Below are 20,766 nucleotides of genomic sequence, written 5' to 3' on the forward strand. Positions count from 1 at the left end.
GCGCACCCAGGCTGGGTCGGGCTCAGAACTGCCCCTTGCCATACACGTGTTGTGTCGCTCGCCGCTGCCTCATTTCTACTCTTGCCCGAGGTCGGACGCTAAATTCTGTCAGGCCCAGTGTCCAAGTGTCCGTTTATCTGTCCGTTTGCATATGACCGTAGATCGGCACGCCCTGCTCCAGCTGCGGCATGTGCAGGGTTAAGGCGAGAGGAGGTTTCCCTGAGTCGGAGGGGGAGGGGGGCGAGGGGCGGACCTGGCCCAGCCCCGCCCCGCGCCGGAGCAGTGCCGGAGCCCCGCCAGAGCCCGACTTCAGCCCCAGCCAGATCCCGCGTCAACGGAGGCGGAACGGCGGACCCCGTACCCTGGCAGCATCGGAGCACCGGCGGGTGAGTCCCGCGGGAACCGCGCTCAGGGGAAGTTTGGGGCGCGGGGTGTAGAACCCCAAGCGCGTTAGCCCAGACCCGCCCCCCACATCCTTGAGCTGGAAGTTTGGGGCCAAGAGGCCCTCCTGCCAGGGGTCCAGGAGTGTAGCCACCAAGAGAAAGGGGTGGCTGGAGAACTTGGGGATCTCCTGCGAGGGAACCCAGAAGTCCAGCTGCCCATTCCTGGTGGAAACGCCCTGGACTCAGACCCTGGAGTCCTGTGGTCATGAGATTTCTCCAACGGCCCCCCGCCCCAACCCCACTTCTGGACACCAGGGAATCTGGCTTCTGGGGGGGTTTGGAATGGGCAAACTCCTGAGGGGGGACCTCGAGAGGAGAGTGTGGAACCCTGGTGTTTAGTCCTCCCCCTAGTCTGAAACACACCCTGACTCTGGTCTTTTACTAGTGGGAATGGTTTAAATTAACCCTGTGGAATGGCCCCCAGGATGTTGTAAGGATACTCTGGAGTCTGACCCCTGACAGCAGGCGTGGGGACCCCCAGGCTGCCCAGGGCACCCTGGAAGCCAGTAAGGACTCCCCTCATGCAGGACCAGCGTGAGGCTTGTTGAGGGGAAAGGAAGGGTCCTGGATGGAGAGTCCTGTTCTAGTCACCTTACTACTGCCCTCCTAGACCCAGATTTGACCCAGTTGCTGAGTGGTTTGGGTAGTGGGTGAGAAGGAGAATCCTTCATGCCTCCATGGGAAAGGGGAAAGGCTCCTGGGTACCTGGGGCCTGCCCTCCTTCCCACTCCAGGAGGGCCTCCACAGTGGTGTGCTAGCCAGAGGGGTTGGGTTCTCCCCCTGCCTTTCCCACCAGTGATTTTGGGCCAGCCCTGCCCTTAGCTACAGGCTGCTTATTTGTTTCCTGAGGGGCCGGTCAGTGCCCTGACCCCTGTTTTCCCTCTTTCCTCCAGGTGAAGGCAAGGTCCCTGGACTGGTCATATACCTCTTGTGGCCCTGGCAGAATCAAGATGAGGCCCTGTCATGCCTCCCCAGTGAGGCCTACAGTCTGAGCAGACAGCATGGCCTGCCACTGGCAGTGAACACCATGTCTGCAGGAGGTGGCCGGGCCTTTGCTTGGCAAGTGTTCCCCCCCATGCCCACTTGCCGGGTCTATGGCACAGTGGCACACCAAGATGGGCACCTGCTGGTGTTGGGGGGTTGTGGCCGGGCTGGACTGCCCCTGGACACTGCTGAGACACTGGACATGGCCTCGCACACATGGCTGGCACTGGCACCCCTGCCCACTGCCCGGGCTGGTGCAGCTGCGGTAGTTCTGGGCAAGCAGGTGCTAGTGGTGGGTGGTGTGGATGAGGTCCAGAGCCCGGTAGCTGCTGTAGAGGCCTTCCTGATGGATGAGGGCCGCTGGGAGCGTCGGGCCACCCTCCCTCAAGCAGCCATGGGGGTTGCAACTGTGGAGAGAGGTGAGTGGCCTCCCAAGGAAGGCACTTCAGGTACCCTAACACCTTTTATTATTTCCTGACTTAGTCCCTTACCCTCAGAGACTGAACAAGAGCTGTAATTTTTACATGGGTGCCCAGGATGTGGCCTTGTCCCCTGTATCCTTTCCAACCTAGATTTGAGCTGCTGCCTTCTATTAACTGCCTTTTCTGGCTAAGGTGGGAGGCAGAGCCCAAGCCGATCCCAGGATGATGGGAGACCCCAGCCATGTTCCTGCCCCACTCCTCATTTCTAAGAGATGGGGGTGGGATGGCCTAATGACTCCCAGGGTTATAAATAGTCTGGGGTGGGGGAGAGGAGTAGGGCCTTGGCTCAGAGCCTGTGCTTAGACTTCCTGCCCCACCCCCAACCCTTCCCACACGCCAGGGAGCCTGATATGGACAAAGGCCAAGCTGATCTGGGATGGTTGCCATGGAAGCCCCCAGCTGACTGGCCCATTACCCTAAGGCCCCCAGACATGTCGTAGCTGACTCTGAGGGTTTAACAGAGGGCAAGAACCTACTATAATGAAAGAGTGTCACACAGAGGTGCTGGCAGGGATCCTGGGGCAGAAGGCTTGTGGACAGTATCTTTACCCAGCAGACCCAAGCCATTCCTCTCCCAGCCCCATCTCCAACTCCAGCTGGTCCCCAGTCCTCCTCCCCAGACTGAGCTCTGTGCTAAGCAGATCCCCATGTTTCTTACCCCTGGCTTAAGCCATCCCCCCATCTTCCTCCCCGAGGGGAGTCCCCACCTTGTGGCCTCCAGGTCTGACCACCAGCCCAGGCCAGCCCTGCTTGGATGCCAGACTCTGTTGCCATAGCATCTCCAGGGAGACAGAGTCGGATTATAATTAGATCGGCTGCCTCCTGCTCTTTACTCGGAGGGGCCCTGGCCAGAGTAGGAATCCCAGATCTCCCAGCCCCCACTGCAGGCAGGTAGTAGAGTGTCTGTTGCTGGGGAGGGATGCTATAAACACATGGGTCTCCAGCCACCCCCAGGACTTACCAGGGCAGCTGTCAGGGTGGGGTACCCTGGCAGGCTGAGGTACAATCTGAACTACTCTTTTCTATGCAGATGGTATGGTGTATGCTCTGGGGGGAATGGGCCCTGACACGGCCCCCCAGGCCCAGGTACGTGTGTATGAGCCCCGTCGGGACTGCTGGCTTTCGCTACCCTCCATGCCCACACCCTGCTATGGGGCCTCCACCTTCCTGCACGGGAACAAGATCTATGTCCTGGGTAAGGGCCTGGGGAATGTGGGAAGGGGGCTCAGAGTCTAGAAATCCTCATCCTCATAGGTTGGCTGGGATAGGGATCAGGCTCAGTCCAGGATGGCAAAACAAGAGAAGCTTTGTTGGGGTGATCCATGCCTGCTCTGAGGCTCTGACCCCTGGTGGTCTTGCTGTGGTTGGAAAACCAAACCCCAGTACCTGAGGGACTGTAGGGTGGATGATTCATGTGCAAGTGTGCACACAGCAGGATGTGGGAGGCTGAGGCAGGCAGATTAGCAACCTAGTGAGCAAGGAGCCCACCAAGCCTCCTGGGCTCCTTCCCAGGTACCCCAATTCCATTGACAGGGGGCCGCCAGGGCAAGCTCCCGGTGACTGCTTTTGAAGCCTTTGATCTGGAGGCCCGTACATGGACCCGGCATCCAAGCCTACCCAGCCGTCGGGCCTTTGCTGGCTGCGCCATGGCTGAAGGCAGCGTCTTTAGCCTGGGTGGCCTGCAGCAGCCTGGGCCCCACAACTTCTACTCTCGCCCACACTTTGTCAACACTGTGGAGATGTTTGACCTGGAGCATGGTGAGCAGTGGCTGTTCTGGGCTGTCCTCCCGCTCTCTGTGGGATGGAGGGGCATAGTGTGTACATGACTAGATCTGACCTCCCCTCTCCTGCAGGGTCCTGGACCAAATTGCCCCGCAGCCTGCGCATGAGGGATAAGAGGGCAGACTTTGTGGTTGGGTCCCTTGGGGGCCACATTGTGGCCATTGGGGGCCTTGGTAAGTCTCTATGGGGCTGGGGAGAGGAGGGAGTCCCAAGACAGGAAAGACTAGCCCCCAGCATGTGTGTCACCTTCTGCCCATCTCCAGGCACTCCAGGGGTCAGGGCTTTGTGAGCTCTTTTCCCTATCTATGAAGTAGGCAGGATGTGGTCTGCCTGGCCCAGCACTCAGGGTGTTCCTCAGTGACTGGGGGCTCTGTCAAGCACCAGCAAGGGTCTACGAGACAGCAGCAGGACAAATGACCACTGTATGCACAGTCAAGAGAACATATAGAAACATAAATGAATGAACAAATGATGAACATAGGCAATGAGGAGCAAGGCCCTGATAGCTCATCCTGGGGTGATAACTACTGGGCTATTCTCTGGGCTTAGGGAGCAGAAGGGCCTGGAGTCCCTACGGCCTGTGCCTCTCACAGCCTTCTCTCTCCTTCTTGCAGGAAACCAGCCATGTCCTTTGGGCTCTGTGGAGAGCTTTAGCCTTGCACGGCGGCGCTGGGAGGCATTGCCTGCCATGCCCACTGCCCGCTGCTCCTGCTCTAGTCTGCAGGCTGGGCCCCGGCTGTTTGTTATTGGGGGTGTGGCCCAGGGCCCCAGTCAAGCCGTGGAGGCACTGTGTCTGCGTGATGGGGTCTGAAGGCTTGGTGGGAGCTGTCCACTGGAGCAGCTCATTGCCAGAGGCAGCTATTTCTATGGCTCCTTTTGCTGCTGAGGACACTCACTGTGGCTCTGTGGGATGAGAGAGGCATGGGGGTGAGCACTTGAAACACTGCCTTGGGGCCTTGGGTTAGGGGAGCCTTTGTCTTTAGTGCAGGACACACATATGCTTACACCTACCTTTATCACCATTCGTTCATGAATCATGCCTAGCTCCATCCTTGCCCTGGGACCTACTAGGCCTTCCATCCAACTGGGAAATGGGGAGAAGCAAAGCTGGCCTCATGCTCTTCAGGGTCAGTTCCTATCTGGAGTTGACCAGGCCTACCCCAGTTGCCATTCCTGAAAAATCTCAGCTGCCAGGCTGCCTTTAGGGTCCCTGCAGACCCAGGAGAGTTGAGAGGGTGGGGGACACAGAGAGAATAGAGAGGATGTGGGAACTGCCAGAGGGCCGGAGCGCAGGAGTTCAAGTGGAGGAATGCTGGCTTTGAGCCCTCTACACTGCTGGTTGTATGACCTTGGACAAGTCACTTCACCTCTCTGTGCCTCAGCATCCTCATCTATAAATGGGGATCTCTGAAACCTTCCTACCCTACCTACCTCACAGGGCTGTTGTGAGGACCCAGGGAGTTTGGATGTGGAAGTAAAAGTGCTGCTAAAACCTAGTGTGTGGACCCTGGTGTGAACTCCCTTGTTTCCACTGCCCCTGCCTTCCTTTGGGGGTCTCAATGCCCCTAGGGATGAGGGTCCAGAAGGAGCCTCTTGGATCTGGTCGGTGTTCCCAAAGTGATTTGGTGTTTCTGTTCCATCTGAGCCTCAGCTTATTCTTTGGCAACATGTGATGACAGCGCCTCCTTACTGTCCTGGGGATTAGAGAGCACTAGGGCAGTAAGGAAGGGCTGTCACATGTCACCAAAGGATGGCAGGATAAGATGACCAGAGAAGTGCTCAGAAAACAACAGAATACCACAAGGTTAGGAAGACCTCCAGATCCAAGTTACAGAGTGTCTCCTTAGGGTCTCTGCTCACCCCCACAGGGAGGGGTGGTGCAGTGGGTTCTGTGGCCCAGGGCAGTCTCTTTCTGTCTCAGCTGTGGGGCAGCCGTCTCTTGGACAGGACTGTGTGGCCACCCAACAAACCCCTCAAAGGCAGCTGCCTCCTGAGAAAGCTGCCAACTCTTCCTTCTTCCAGCCTTTGTCGCCCACTAGTACTGGTCTCTGGGGTCTGCTTTCCCCATAGCTAAACTGAGTACTTGACCTGCTTCCCCAGTGATGCCTTTCATTCTAGGGTGAAGCACCTAGAAAGTCAGTGGCCCACAGGATATTTGCACATTGTCTGGCACGCTGGCAGAGGAAACCAACACAGAGATGTCTCTGGGGGAATGGGCTGTTTCCCAGAGGAGAAAGGTTGTGGGGAAGTTAGTCACTCCGCTGCCTTCATAAGGAGCCCTCCCTCAGTGTCACCCCCTTCACCCTGCCACCTGCTCTGTCCTGACTTCAACTTAGGCTGGGGACTGCCCTCTAATCTTCCTCTCTACAGCTGGGTTTACTGCAAGAACAGAGTAGTACTTGGGGCCCTGGAACCCACCTGATGTGGCTATAGCAATCCTCCTGGACTCTTAGCCTCCTGCAGGCCTTACCCTTTCTCACTTAGTGGCAGGGATCCCAGAGCAGCACCTCCCATGCCCAGCACAGAAACACACCATGGGCACAAGTGCCATGGGAGACAGGCACAGGACCTGGCAGCCTACTACTACCTTTCAGCCTCTTGGGCTACATCCCATTGTGGGCTGCAAGCACAGACAGGCTGCTGTGTCAGCTGTCCTTGTTTAATGCTCTGGACCAGTTTAGACACTCAGAGACCCCAGCATGAAGGTAGTGCTGCAGCAGCTTGGGTCTTGGGATCCCTGGGAGGTCAGGCAGTACGTCAGTGACCGGCGCCTGGGGCCCTACCTTGTAGCTGCCATAGTGGCCACCCTGGGATGGGCAGCAGAAGTTCTGCTGGTAGGTGGTCCTGGTATGGGAAGGCTGGACCTGCACAAAGTGGATGAGGTGCTGGGGGAGGCCACTGAGTCCTGGGCCTGGCCTGAAATCAGCCTGGTAAGAAGATTCCAGGGGCCCCTGCTGGCGCAACTCTATCTCACAGGGTGCCCAGCGCAGGAAGGTGTGCCGCTGCCACAGGCGCTCCAGGTCCTTCCGCCTTCCGATTCCCTGCAGCAGGCAATAGGGACCCTCCTCAACGGTATGGGCCCTTGGCCCACATTCCTGGCACCAAGCACCTTCTTGGGCCCCTCCTAACCCCAAGTCTGCTTGGTGATACCTGTCCTATGCCTGGCTGTCTTGGCCTGTACCCTGGCCTCCTTGGCCTGCCTCCCCAGTGATGTCTTTCATTCTAAGGTGAAGCACCCAGAAAGTTAGTGGCCCACAGGATACTTGCATATTGTCTGGCAAGTTGGCAGAGGAAACCAACATAGAGATGTCTCTGTTTGGGGGAATAGGCTGTTTCCCAGAGGAGAAAGTTTGTGGGGGAAGACAGCCACTCCTCTGCCTTCATAAGGAGCCCTCCCTCAGTGTCATCCCCTCCACCCTACCATCTGCTCTGTCCAGACTTCAGCTTAGGCTGGGGGACTGCCTGCCATTCTTCCTGTCTTCGGCACTCACTTTGTCAAAGGAAGTACGGTTGTCGTGCTTGGAGAAGAAGTGTCGCTGCGCCGGCTCCTTGAAAGACAGTGAGAAAGAAGGTGAATGGGGAAAATGATGCTTATTTACCCACCCTTACCTGGATCACTGCCTCAGGGTCCTTAATGGAGGGAAGTCACCAGGAGCCACTGCCCCTAAGCTGCTAAACTGCCAACAGACAGAGGGCAGAGACTAATTAAAGCAACACTTCAGTCCTGGGATATCTCAACCTGGGACTTGCCCTGAAGCAGAAGCCCGTGGAACCCTTATTGAGGAGGGTCCTCAATAAGGAGGCATCTGCTAGAACATCCTCCCATCAGGGGAGCAGTGGCCAAGTTTCAAGTTGGGCCTTAACTCTTGATTGCCCAGGACTCTAGTCCTCTCCTCCCCTGCATCCACACTTACTCCCCCATCAACATACCCAGCCTCTTGGCTCTAAATGCCATCTGAAAACTGGAATTTCTATCTCCAGCTCAAACTTTCTCCTGAACTTTGGGTTCAGTAGACAACTGCCTACTCCACATCTCCATGTAAATGCCTAATTGAGCATCTCCAAACATATGACTGAGCTTTGGGTCATCCCCAGACACACTCCACCTATAGCCTCCCCCAGCTCAGACCACGGCAGCCAGATCCTGTCAAACACCTTGAGTCCCCTTGATTCTCTTCTCTCATACCCCACATTGAATATGCAAGTATCCTGTTGATACTGTGGTCAAAATGTGCCCAGGACCAGACCACATCTCAGCATGCCCACTCTTTTCCCCGATCCAAGCCACATTACTCTCTTGCCTGAATTATTGCAAGAGCTTCCTGCCTGGTGTCCCTGCTTTCAAACTTACCCCTCCAGTCTGCTGTCTGCTTAGCAGCCAGCATAATTCTGTTAGTACATAAATGAGATCACATCTCATTTGCTGAAAATCCACAACAGTTCCTCCTATTTGTGATAGCCAAAGTCATCATAGTGGTCTGTGAGACCCACATGATATTGGTCCTTCTGTTACCTCCAGCCACACTGATTTCCTCACTGCTCCTCAGACACACCAGGTGCTCCCACTTAGGGCTTTGCACCACCTGTTCCTTCTCCTGGCCATATAATTCCCTCACACCTCCCTCTTTTCCTTCCTTGAGCACTAGGCCAATAGTTCCATCACCCTAACCCTGCATTTTTCACCTGCTAACATACTATATTGTTCTATGTGATGTTACCCCCACTGATTAGAACATCTCATGCCCCGCCATTAAACATAAGCTGCTTGTGGGCAAAGGCGGTCTGTCTTGCTCACATCTATAACTTCAGCACTGAGAATAATGCCTGACACAGCTCAATAAATGTTGCTGTTAAATCAATAAACAGGCTGGGCACGGTGGCTCACACCTGTAATCCCAGCACTTTGGGAGGCCGAGGCGGGTGGATCACCTGAGGTCAGGAGTTTGAGACCAGCCTGGCCAACATAGTGAAACCCCGTTTTTACTAAAAATACAAAAATTAGCCGGGCTTGGTGGCTCATGCCTGTAATCCCAGCACTTTGGGAGGCCGAGGCGGACAGATCACTTGAGGTCAGGAGTTCGAGACCAACCTGGCCAACATGGTGAAACCCCGTCTCTACTAAAACACACAAAAAAATTAGCTGGGTGTGATGGTGTTTGGCTGTAATCCCAGCTACTCAGGAGGCTGAAGCAGGAGAATTGCTTAAACCTGGGAGGCAGAGGTTGCAGTGAGCTAAGATTGAGCCACTGCACTCCAGCCTGGGCAACAGAAAAAAAAAAATTAATGAACAGGGACAGAAGGTCCTGGCCCCAGGGCATTTACTTTGGCTCAGTTGGAGCTAGAGAGCCTTGCTCCACTCCCATGCAGAGAAAGCCCATCTCTTAGGCCTCCAGACTTCAGCAGGAATCTGTCCCAAGAACACCTTCTTGCCTTTGTGCTTGGCTTCTGCCTGCAGAGCCATTCCCTCTCCAGTCACTCAGTTTCTCCTGCTGTAGACCTGAAGTGGCCAGATCTGGTGAGGTCAGGCTTGGCTGGCTTGGGAGTATAGGTAATGGCTGACAGCAGGTCCCCAGATAAAATACAGGGGCTGGCTCCATCCCTGAACCAGAATCTTCAGAGTAGAGCTTATTGTATGTGTGTTTAAGAGTTCCCTTTTTAGGCCAGGTGCGGTGGCTCACGCCTGTAATCCCAGCACTTTGGGAGGCCGAGGCGGGCGGATCACGAGGTCAGGAGATCGAGACCATCCTGGCTATCATGGTGAAACCCCGTCTCTACTAAAAATACAAAAAATGTGCTGGGTGTGATGGCGGGCGCCTGTAGTCCCAGCTACTCGGGAGGTTGAGGCAGGAGAATGGCGTGAACCCGGGAGGTGGAGCTTGTAGTTAGCTGAGATCACACCACTGCACTCCAGCCTGGGCGACAGAGTGAGACTCCGTCTCAAAAAAAAAAAAAAAAAAAAAAGAGTTCCCTTTTTAGAACCGCCTGCCTTAGACAGTCTGATGGTAGTCTTCAAGCAGAATGAAAACTCCAAGAAGGTGGGAAGCTTTCATTCCTCAAAATGCAAGCTGAGGCTGGGCACAGTGGCTCATGCCTATAATCCCAGCAGTTTGGGAGGCAGAGGCGGATAGATCACTTGAAGCCAGGAATTCGAGACCAGCCTGGCCAACATGGTGAAACCTTGTCTCTACTGAAAATACAAAAATTAGCTAGGTGTGGTGGTGGGCGCCTGTAATCCCAGCTACTCGAAAGGCTGAGGCAGGAGAATTGCTTGAACTTGGGTGGTGGAGGTTGCAGTGAGCCGAGATCTCACCACTGCACTCCAGCCTTGGCAACAGAGAGACTCTATCTCCAAGAAAAAAAAAAAAAAAAAAGCAAGCTGAGGCCGTGCAGTGGCTTACACCCGTAATCCCAGGACTTTGAGAGGCCAAGGAGGAAAGATTGCTTGAGCCCAGGAGTTCAAGACCGGCCTGGGCAGTGTGGAAAGGCTCCCAGACACTGTCTCTACAAAAAATAACAAATTAGCCAGGCGTGGTGGTGCATACCTGTGGTCCCAGCAACTAGGAAAGCTGAAGTGGAAGGATCACATGAGCTTAAGAGGTCAAGGGTGCAATGAGCCATGATCGTGCCACTGCGAACCAAGCTACAGACTGGGAGAAAATATTTATAAACCATATATCCAACAGAGGACTAGAATATATAAGGAAGTCTCTCAACTCAACAGTAAAATCACAGTCTAATTAGAAAATGGACAAACATGAAGACATCTAACCAAAGAAGATTTACAGACGACAAATAACACATGAAAATGTGTCCGGAATGGGTGGGTTCTTCGTCTCACTGACATCAAGACTGAAGCCGCGGACCCTCGCGGTGAGTGTTAACAGTTCTTAAAGGCGGCATGTCCGGAGTTTGTTCCTTCTGACGTTCGGATGTGTTCCCAGTTTCTTCCTTCTGGTGGGTTCGTGGTCTCGCTGGCTCAGGAGTGAAGCTGCAGACCTCCGCGGTGAGTGTTACAGCTCTTCAGGCGGCGCGTCTGGAGTTGTTCGTTCCTCCGGGTGGGTTCGTGGTCTCACTGGCTTCAGGAGTGAAGCTGCAGACCTTCGTGGTGAGTGTTACAACTCATAAAGGCAGCGTGGACCCAAAGAGTGAGCAGCAGCAAGATTTATTGCAAGGAGTGAAAGAACAAAGCCTCCACAGCGTGGAAGGGGACCAAAGCGGGTTGCCACTGCTGGCTGGGGCAGCCTGCTTTTATGCTCTTATCTGGCCCCACCCACATCCTGCTGATTGGTAGAGCCCAGTAGTCTGTTTTGACAGGGCACTGATTGGTGCGTTTACAATCCCTGAGCTAGACACAAAGGTTCTCCACTTCCCCACCAGATTAGCTAGATACAGAGTGTGGACACAAAGGTTCTCCAAGTCCCCCACCAGAGTAGCTAGATACAGAATGTCAATTGGTGCATTCACAAACCCTGAGCTAGACACAGGGTGCTGATTGGTGTGTTTACAAACCTTGAGCTAGATACAGAGTGCCCATTGGTGTATTTACAATCCCTTAGCTAGACATAAAGGTTCTCCAAGTCCCCACCAGACTCAGGAGCCCAGCTGGCTTCACCCAGTGGATCCCGCACTGGGGCTGCAGGTGGAGCTGCCTGCCAGTCCCGCGCCGTGTGCCCACACTTCTCAGCCCTTGGGTGGTCAATGGGACTGGATGCCATGGAGCAGGGGGCGGCGCTTGTTGGGGAGGCTCGGGCTGCACAGGAGCCCAGGGAGTGAAGGGGGAGGTTCAGGCATGGCAGGCTGCAGGTCCCGAGCCCTGCCCCGCGGGAAGGCAGCTAAGGCCTGGCGAGAAATTCAGCACAGCAGCTGCTGGCCCAGGTGCTAAGCCCCTCACTGCCCGGGGCGGGGGGGCCAGCCACTCCGAGTGCAGCCCGCTGAGCCCATGCCCACCCGGAACTCACGCTGGCCGGCAAGTACAGCGCGCAGCCCCAGTTCCCCCTCTGGCCTCTCCCTCCATACCTCCCCGCGAGCTGAGGGAGCCGTCTCGGGCCTCGGCAAGCCCAGGAAGGGGCTCCCACAGCGCAGCGGCGGGCTGAAGGGCTCCTCAAGTGCCCCAAAGTGGGAGTCCAGGCAGAGGAGGTGCCGAGAGCAAGCAAGGGCTGTGAGGGCTGCCAGCACGCTGTCACCTCTCAAAAAGATATTCATCATTAAACATCAGGGAAATGCAAATTAAAACCACAATAAGATATCACTACACATCTATCAGAATGGCTCCAATTGAAAATGGAGACAACATCAGGTATTGGTGAGAATGCAGAGAAACCAGATCATTCATGCATTGCTGGTAGGAATATAAAGTGGTAAAGCCACTCTCAAAAACAGTTTGGCAGTTTCTTTTAAAAACTAAACATGCAGCCGGGCGCGGTGGCTCATCCTGTAATCCCAGCACTTTGGTAGGCTGAGGTGGGTGGATAACCTGAGGTCAGGAGTTCAAGACCAGCCTGGCCAATATGGTGAAACCCTGTCTCTACTAAAAATACAAAAATTAGCTGGGCATGGTGGCACACACCTGTAATGAGATTGCTTGAGCCCGGGAGGCGGAGGTTGCAGTGAGCTGAGATCGTGCCACTGCACTCCAGCCTGGCCGACAGAGTGAGACTCTGTCTCGAAAACAAAACAAAACAACAAAAACACTAAACATGCAACTACCACATGACCCAGCAATTGTATTCCTGGGCATTTATCCCAGAGAGACAAAAACATATGTTCAACCAAAAGTTTATATACAAATATTCTTAACAGCTTTATTTGTATGAGCCAAAAACTGGAATCAGGTCAGATATCCTTTAACAGATGAATGATTAAACAAACTGGTACATTGGTACCAAGGAAATACTACTCAGTAAATGAAAATAAATGAACTATTGATACACACAATAATTTGGATGAATCTCTAGGAAATTATGCTGCAAAAATAGCCAGTCTCCAAAGGGTGCATATTGTATTATTCTATTTATATAACTGTTTTTGAGACAAGGTCTCACTCTGTTGCCAGGCTGGAGTGCGGTGACACAATCATGGCTCACTTCAGCCTTGACCTCCTGGGCTTAAGCAATCCTCCTACCTCAGCCTCTGGAGTAGCTGGTACCACAGGTGCATGCCATCATGCCTGGCTAATTGTTTAACTTTTTTTAAGAGATGAGGTCTCATTATGTTGCACAGGCTGATCTTGAACTCTTGGGCTCAAGCAATCCTCTTGCCTTGGCCTCCCAAAGTGCTGGGATTAGAGGCATGAGCCACTGTGCCCAGCTTTATATAACATTTCAATTTTATTTAATTTAATTTATTTTTTTGAGACAGAGTCTCACGTGTAGCACAGGCTAGAGTGCAGTGGTGTGATTTTGGCTTGCTGCAACCTCCACCTCCCAGGTTCAAGAGGTTCTTATGCCTCCGCCTCCCAAGTAGCTGGGATTACAGGCATGTGCCACCACACTGGCTAATTTTTGTATTTTTACCAGAGATAGGGTTTCACCATATTGCCCTGGTTGGTCTTGAACTCCTGACCTTGAGCAGTCCACTGCCTTGGCTTCCCAAAGTGTTGGGATTACAGGCATGACCCACCGCACCTGGCCTATGTAATTTTTTTTTTTTTTTTTTTTGAGATGGAGTCTTGCTCTCTTACCTAGGCCGGAGTGCAGTGGCGTGATCTCAGCACACCACAACCTCTGCCTCCCAGATTCAAGCACTTCTCCTGCCTCAGCCTCCCGAGTAGCTATGATTACAGGCGTGAGCCACCAACCTCAGCAAATTTTTTGTATTTTTAGTAGAGATGGGGTTTCACTATGTTGGCCAGGCTGGTCTTAAACTCCTGGCCTTAAGCAATCCACCCACCTCGGCCTCCCAAGTGCTGGGATTACAGGCGTGAGCCACTGCGCCCGACCTATAACATTTTTAAGTGACAAAATTTTAGAAATGGAAGATTGATTGATTTAGAAATGGGGGCCAGGCGCAGTGGCTCAGGCCTGTAACTTTGGGGGGCCGAGGTGGGTGGATCACCTGAGGTCGGGAGTTCAAGACCAGCCTGACCAACATGGAGAAACCCCATCTCTTCTAAAAATACAAAATTAGCCGGGTGTGGTGGTGCATGCCTGTAATCCCAGCTACTCAGGAGGCTGAGGCAGGAGAGTCACTTGAACCCGGGAGGCAGAGGTTGTGGTGAGCCGAGATCACGACACTGCACTCCAGCCTAGGTGACAGAGCAAGACTCTGTCTTAAAGAAAAAAAAAAATTACATAGACCAAGCAGGGTGGCTCACACCTGTAATCCTGACACTTTGGGAAGCCAAGGCAGGTGGATCACCCGAGATCAGGAGGTTGAGACCAACCAGGGAAATATGGTGAAACCCTGTCTCTACTAAAAATAAAAAAAATTAGCTGGACACGGTGGTGGGTACCTGTAATCCCAGCTACTCAGGAGGCTGAGGTGGGAGATTTGCTTGAACCCGGGAGGCAGAGGTTTCAGTGAGCCAAGATCACACCATTGCACTCCAGCCTGGGCAACAAGAGCGGAACTCCAAAAACAAAACAAAAAAACAACAAAAAAACCAGAGCAGCACCAGGGATCCCTTGTGATGTTGGTCTACCATCACAGTCAACTGTGGTGTTAGATACACAAAACTACACAGGTGATAAAATTTTAAAGCTTTTTTTTTTTTTTTCCCCGAGACGGAGTCTCGCACTGTTGCCTGGGCTGGAGTACAGTGGCTCGATCTCAGCTCACTGCAACCTCTGCCTCCTGGGTTCAAGCTATTCTCCTGCCTCAGCCTCCCAAGTAGTTTGGATTACAGGTGCCAGCCACCACTCCCTGCCAATTTTTTGTATTTTTAGTAAAGATGGGGTTTCACTATGTTGGCCAGTCTCAAACTCCTGACCTCATGATCCACCCGCCTGAGCCTCCCAAAGTGCAGGGATTATGGGCGTGAGTCACCGCGCCCGGCTATAATTTTATAGCTCTTTTTTTTTTTTTTTTTTGACACAGAGTTTTGCTGTTGTTGCCCAGGCTGAAGTGCAATGGCGCAATCTCGGCTCACCACAACCTCCGCCTCCCGGGTTCGAGCAATTCTCCTGCCTCAGCCTCCCAAGTAGCTGGGATTACAGGCATGCACCACCACCCTGGCTAATTTTGTATTTTTAGTAGAGACAGGGTTTCTCCATGTTGGTCAGGCTGGTCTTGAACTCCCGACCTCAGGTGATACACCCGCCTTGGCCTCCCAAAGTGCTGGGATTACAGGTGTAGCCTGGAGTGCAGTGTTGCGATCTCAGCTCACTGCAAGCTCCACCTCCCGTGTTCACGCCATTCTCCTGCCTCAGCCTCCTGAGTAGCTGGGACTACAGGCGCCTGCCACCACACCTGGCTAATTTTTTTTTTTTTTTTGGAGATGGAGTCTCAGTCTGTCGCCCAGGCTGGAGTGCAGTGGTGCGATCGCGGCTCACTGCAACCTCCGCCTCCCGGGTTCACACCATTCTCCTGCCTCAGCCTCCCAAGTAGCTGGGACTACAGGCGCCCGCCACCATGCTTGTCTAATTTTTTGTATTTTTCGTAGAGATGGGGTTTCACCATGTTAGCCAGGATGGTCTTGATCTCCTGACCTCGTGATCCGCCTGCCTTGGCCTCCCAAAGTGCTGGGATAACAGGCGTGAGCCACCGCACCCAGCCTATAGCCACCACGCCCCGCCCATAGCTCTTAATACACACACACGCACGCACGCACGCACGCAGAAGTAAAACTAAGGAAATTTGAATGAACTTTAGTGATTAAATCAATGTCAATGTCCTTGTTGTGATATTATACTATAGCTTTGCAAGATGTTACCATTGAAGGTAACCAGGCAAAGTGTAAAAGAAATCTCTATTATTTTTTACAACTGCTTATGAATTGATAATTATTTCAATGAAAGTTTCAATTAAAATAAAATCTAGGAGTCTGGGGCAAGTTTCAATTGACCCCCAAATTTCTCCCATTGTCTATCCTCAGCTACTGAATTACACTTAGCCCTAGAATGTACATGTCTTTCCTGTCGGAGGCACCTCTGACTGGAAATTCACTATTCCTATAGTGGCAGGATAATTTATTGACGCCCAATGAGTTTTGTTCTCTCAAAACTGTGGGAGCTTGGTGAGAAGCACAGTCATTTCCTCTCTACCCAGGCAATTCTGGGTATTCTTGCCCTGCAAAGAATGATCACTAGCATCTTTGTTTCTTAATCATTCAAGGCTCCTTTTCCAACGAGGTGGTAAAATCCATGGTTTCTGAGCAGGTAGAGCTAGGACTGGGATTCCATCTTAAGAGGACTTGGAAGAGAAGTGGGCTTCTTTGGAAGGGGCAGTATTTGCATGTGGGAGGGCTAAGGGCCCCTGTGGAGGCTGGGCAGTCTGCACTAAGAGAGGAAGCTCCTTGGCAAACTGAGGGATGGGATGGCAGCAAGGGCCCAGCAATCATGGCACCACAGGTGAAGAACATGCACCCAACCAGACAGGATTCCTGTCCAACCTGAGGAACTAAGAGAACCAGAATTATATTTCCCAAGAATCAGGCAGTTGACGGCTGGAAATAGATTAATCTGCTTTAGAAAAAAAATGAAAAAAAAACCCATAATTTTCTTGCATCTGTATGTCATGGACAAAAATTTTACAAACCAAAGGAGAGTGGATGCTACATCTTGGAAAGGCTTTAAACAATAGCTAGAATCTGCCAGCTGAAACCTGGTACCTCTCAGCCAGTGCAAAAAGAAAATGTGCAACTTCTCTGAGCAGTCCTATTAATTAAAACAGCTTTAGACCTAGAAAGAACTGTGAGATTTGACATTTATATAACCTGAATCCAAGACACAGATTATGCTACTTGGGGCTGCTGATAATGCTAGTAAATTTTTTATGTAGCAAGTCCTTACATTGATCAGCAGCCAAAACATGCCCCTTACATGTCTGTTTCTGAGGAATGAGTTTAACAGATTGATAGGATGTTCCAGTCTCTGGGAGGAGAGCTGCCACTGAGGGCAATGACAAACATACAGCAGGAAGTCTCTGTGTTGCTTCTCTTTCTGTACTTCCCAGATCCCTTCACTCTCAAAAGGGAGGTGGCCCTGGATGGGCAGTATGGAGCTGCATCTGGGCCTGGCTTGGTAGGCTGTAGCAGGCAGCCCTTGCAAGTGTATATGCTAAGGAAGTTCAGTTTCCATAAAATAGCAGCCTTCAGGACCCTGGTCTCAGCCTGGGAAAGCAATTCATAGAAAATCCAGATGGCAGATCAAGTAGGACCTGGCAAAAGGCTGGGAAGCAAGAAGGTGCAGTGGGTGGTACCTGTTTTAGGCACCCCTTCAGGTCCCTCTGGGCCTTTCTTCTACCCAGTTGTTGCTCCGGAGGCTGACCTGACTGCACCCCACACTAGGCTCCCTTTGTTCTGGCCACCAGGGAACCCTGGGAGGACATGGAGGAAAAGAGAGAGGAGGTGTTTCTTCTCTTGGCTCCCTCCTAGGCCACATCCCACCTGGCTATGTCTCTGTACCTAGGATCACTGATCCTGTCAGGGTGACCCTTTTCATACCTTTATCTCCTTCTCGATTCCAGAAGCCATGCCTCCCCCTTGTCCCCCTTTGGGCTCAGTAGTACTAACCACTTGGTTGTTACCAGCCTGTGGGAATGCCTTTATCTGAGGCTGTCACAAGCAATCTTTTGTAAACATACCCTTCCGAGTTCTGCTGTTTTGAGTATGCTTGTTACTGTTGTGACTCCGATTTATTTATTTATTTTTTATGTTATTTCATTTTTTGAGACCGAGTCTCACTCTGTCACCCAGGCTGGAGTGTGGTGGTGCCATCTTGGCTCACTGCAACTTCTGCCTCCCAGGTTCAAGCGATTCTGCCTACCTCAGCCTCCTGAGTAGCTGGGATTACAGGTGTGCATCACCATGCCCGGTTATTTTTTTTTTTTTTTTTGAGACGGAGTTTTGCTCTTGTTGCCCAGGCTGGAATGCAATGGCGCTATCTGATCTTGGCTCACTGCAACTTCCACCTCCTGGGTTCAAGCCATTCTCCTGCCTTAGCCTCCCGAATAGCTGGGATTAGAGGCATGCGCCACCAAGCCCAGCTAATTTTGTATTTTTAGTAGAGATGGGGTTTCTCCATGTTGGTCAGGCTGGTCTTGAACTACCGACCTCAGGTGATCCTCCCACCTCGGCCTCCCAAAGTTCTGGGATTACAGGCATGAGCCACCGCACCTTGCCTATTTTTTTTTTTTGTATTTTTAGTAGAGATGGGGTTTCACCATGTTGGCCAGACTGGTTTCGAGCTCCTGACCTCAAGTGATCCACCTGCCCTGGCCTCCCAAAGTGCTAGGATTACAGGCGTGAGCCACCTCGCCCAGCTGTGACCCTGATTTATGATACACAGTGCCCCTTCCTTGTCTCCAGGCTTGTAAGTAGTAAAGGGCCTAGGGCCCTGTATCCCTTTCCCATTCTCCAGAAGCCTGCTATAGCCACTCCAGGCTATCTCAGCCATCACTCCTTTCCAGTATTCCCTGGCCAAATGTGTAGGCCAGTAACCAGCTGCCTCCTGTACTACTTCCCTGACCAGAGGAGGCCTCCTACTAATTTCTAAGGACCTGGACTGTGAAGCTGGCTGTGGAATGGACCATGGGCTTTCTTAGCATTAAGGAATCTGAATGTGAAGGTAGTTGTCAGCAAAACTCAAGGCTTACTTCCTGGGTTCTAGAGGCTCTTTGCCTGTAGCTACCCACCCCGGCTAGGCCCTTACCCTTTGTCCATCTAGAAGGGGCAGTGAGCAATATGGTTCAGTTTGGCACTCACTCTTTTCCACCCTGTCTGTAGGGGAAAGATCTGACATCTCAGAGAAGAAAGGTAAAGCCTGTCCCAGGGATAGGTGTCAGTACAGCCATGGAAGGGCTGGGATGATGCTTTTGGGTTCTGGGAGAGGCAAGAACTGGTCTAGTCACCCCCGCTGCCTTCAGGTCTGCCTTGTACCTGACATCGCTGCAGGAACACTGCTGGAGGCTGGGGCTTGGCTGCAAGGTGGTATTCTCTAGCACTTTCACTCTTGAATTGGCTTCTGTAGTGCCCATAGAAGCCATTGTTGTGCTATAACAAGACAGGAATGAGGATAAAACTCACTCAAATCTCCACCATGGATCCTAGACCTCAGGGCCCCAACTGAGGGTTCCAGGAAAGCCAGACCAGAAGCCCCTCATGGAAGTTCCTGACAGAATAGAAAGAATCTAAGGAGTTAGGACACTCCTGGAGATGGGCCAGTATAGAAGTGTCTTCATCCATCATTGGGACAGTTGACCTCAGCTGTAATGACCCACCTGGGCTATGCATGTGTAGGGAAGGAGTGCCATTCATTTAGAGCAGAGATTTGTGGGCAGGGCCACTGATCAGGGGTGTGGTCCTTCCCTAAAGAGCCTGAGAAGAAATCCCCTTTGTTGTTCTCTCCACAATTTTTTTTTTTTTTTTGAGACAGAGTCTTGCTCTTTCACCCAGGCTGGAGTACAGTGGCACAACCTCAGCTCACTGCAACCTCCGCCTCCCGGGTTCAAGTCATTCTCCTGCCTCAGCCTCCCAAGTACCTGAGACTACAGGCGCCCACTATCATGCCAGGCTGAATTTTTTTTTTTTTTTTTTTTTTTTGAGACGGAGTCTTGCTCTGTCTGCAGGCTGGAGTGCAGTGGTGCGATCTTGGTTCACTGCAACCTCTGCCTCCCGGGTTCAATCAATTCTCCTGCTTCAGCCTCCCGAGTATCTGGGATTACAGGCGCCCGCCACCACACCCGGCTAATTTTTGTATTTTTAGTAGAAACAGGGTTTCACCATGTTGGCCAGGCTGGTCTCGAACTCCTGACCTCGTGATCTGCCCACCTTGGCCTCCCAAAGTGCTGGGATTACAGGCGTGAGCCACTGCGCCTGGCCTGGAGAGAATTTCAGAGAGAGGAACTGTCAGGAGACAGAAATAAGCAACTATCAGAGGTCCAAGAAAGGGGCTGTACTGTGCTGATGTCATTACGTGTACACTCTGTGGATGATCATGTCTGGGAACTCCTATGGCCCAACCTCTTTGTCCTGAGTTCTCCCTGGAGACGATGGGTGTGTCTGGCCCTCCACAATTATAACACTGAGCAGAAGAACCCATCCTAAGCCTGCCCTCTGGCCATCACAATGGGCTATTTAACAGGACTAGAAAGCCTCATATCTTTCCATCCCACTGAAGACGTGGATCACTTTGTCTGTCTATCCTTCTCTGTCAGGAACCCCTCACTCTCTATTCAGGTTAGCTCAACAGTATTTATCAGACCTTTATTGTCTTCCAGGCGTGGGGCTGAGCATGGGAAATACAGATGGACAAAAACACAATCTTTGCCCTCAAAATGTTCCCAGACTAGAGAGCAGCCAAACTCCAAAAGCTTGGGAGGCTCAAACAATTAACTAGGAATAAATGGGGTGGCTAGAGGACTAGGAATTTCCACTGGCTTTCAGGAGACCATGATGCATGGAAGGGGGCAAAGTGTTAGGAAGACTAGGCAGCCTCCAGGGGTGACCTCAAGATGGTGGAGAGGAAGTGGGCGGCTCAGGGTCCTATTCCAGGTTGGATGCCAAATGAAAACCTTTTCACTTCACCGGCATGACTCAGTCAGATTTCAGGTACAACCAGAGGGCCAGGGGCCAGGATTAACATAAAGTGCACTCTTACCCAGGAGCCTACTAAAGCACTTTGCATCTTTCCAAGAAGGGAGCAGAAAAGGCAAACTTTCCTCTTGTCTTTTGGAGGGTATCTTCAGGAAAGAGAATCTCTGGAGGTCAATTTTTTGTTGCTTAGTGACAAGGGAAGGTTGTGACTGCACAATGCTGCTGCTGTTTGTTGAGACAGTACATGACCTGTTGCCCCTTTGTCCTTGCTGCCCTAGTTCTTCTCTGTGAGAAAAACCTGCCCCTTGGCATTAACAGCCTGAAGAGCCCTTATATATAGAAACACACAGGGCTCCATGGTAGAGTCTAATGGATTCGCAGCCAA

At 52.3% G+C, this 20,766-nt stretch overlaps 3 protein-coding genes across 8 annotated transcripts in view, besides 1 other annotated feature; 2 read left to right on the forward strand and 1 right to left on the reverse strand.

Moving 5' to 3' along the window:
• Positions 215-314: a silencer, noted in NCBI's record as "silent region_14358". NCBI's record gives its function as "represses an Ori minimal core promoter by ATAC-STARR-seq in GM12878 lymphoblastoid cells {active_cell/tissue: GM12878}" and the evidence as "EXISTENCE:reporter gene assay evidence [ECO:0000049][PMID:35858748]".
• KLHDC8B (kelch domain containing 8B) lies at positions 299-5,187 on the forward strand. 4 transcript variants are annotated; one of them, XM_006713015.4, is made up of 6 exons: positions 299-386; positions 1,337-1,876; positions 2,940-3,104; positions 3,422-3,667; positions 3,763-3,864; positions 4,306-5,187. In XM_006713015.4, exons 2-6 carry the CDS (start codon positions 1,471-1,473, stop codon positions 4,500-4,502), a joined length of 1,116 nt encoding a protein of 371 aa, XP_006713078.1. In that variant the 5' UTR covers positions 299-386; positions 1,337-1,470; the 3' UTR covers positions 4,503-5,187. The 4 variants fall into 4 exon arrangements, with proteins under 4 accessions (XP_006713078.1, XP_006713079.1, XP_005264995.1 ...); XM_006713016.4 differs by having other exon boundaries at positions 3,443-3,667; XM_005264938.4 differs by having other exon boundaries at positions 1,337-1,846.
• On the reverse strand, positions 6,335-20,559 carry CIMIP7 (ciliary microtubule inner protein 7). 3 transcript variants are annotated; one of them, NM_001080528.3, is made up of 4 exons: positions 20,446-20,559; positions 18,726-18,839; positions 7,183-7,239; positions 6,335-6,753 (listed from the first exon to the last, which is right to left on the reverse strand). In NM_001080528.3, exons 1-4 carry the CDS (start codon positions 20,470-20,472, stop codon positions 6,337-6,339), a joined length of 615 nt encoding a protein of 204 aa, NP_001073997.2. In that variant the 5' UTR covers positions 20,473-20,559; the 3' UTR covers positions 6,335-6,336. The 3 variants fall into 3 exon arrangements, with proteins under 3 accessions (NP_001073997.2, XP_011532317.1, XP_011532319.1); XM_011534015.3 differs by having other exon boundaries at positions 6,335-6,756; XM_011534017.3 differs by lacking the exon at positions 18,726-18,839 and having other exon boundaries at positions 6,335-6,756.
• Positions 20,010-20,766, forward strand: part of IHO1 (interactor of HORMAD1 1) — a 66,798-nt gene continuing 66,041 nt past the window's right edge. Inside the window, exon 1 of the mRNA XM_011533672.3 lies at positions 20,010-20,024. The gene's annotated coding sequence lies outside the window, so the exon portion shown is untranslated. The remainder of the gene's footprint in view (positions 20,025-20,766) is intronic.

Source organism: Homo sapiens, chromosome 3 (assembly GCF_000001405.40).
Source record: "Homo sapiens chromosome 3, GRCh38.p14 Primary Assembly".
Lineage (NCBI taxonomy): Eukaryota > Metazoa > Chordata > Mammalia > Primates > Hominidae > Homo > Homo sapiens.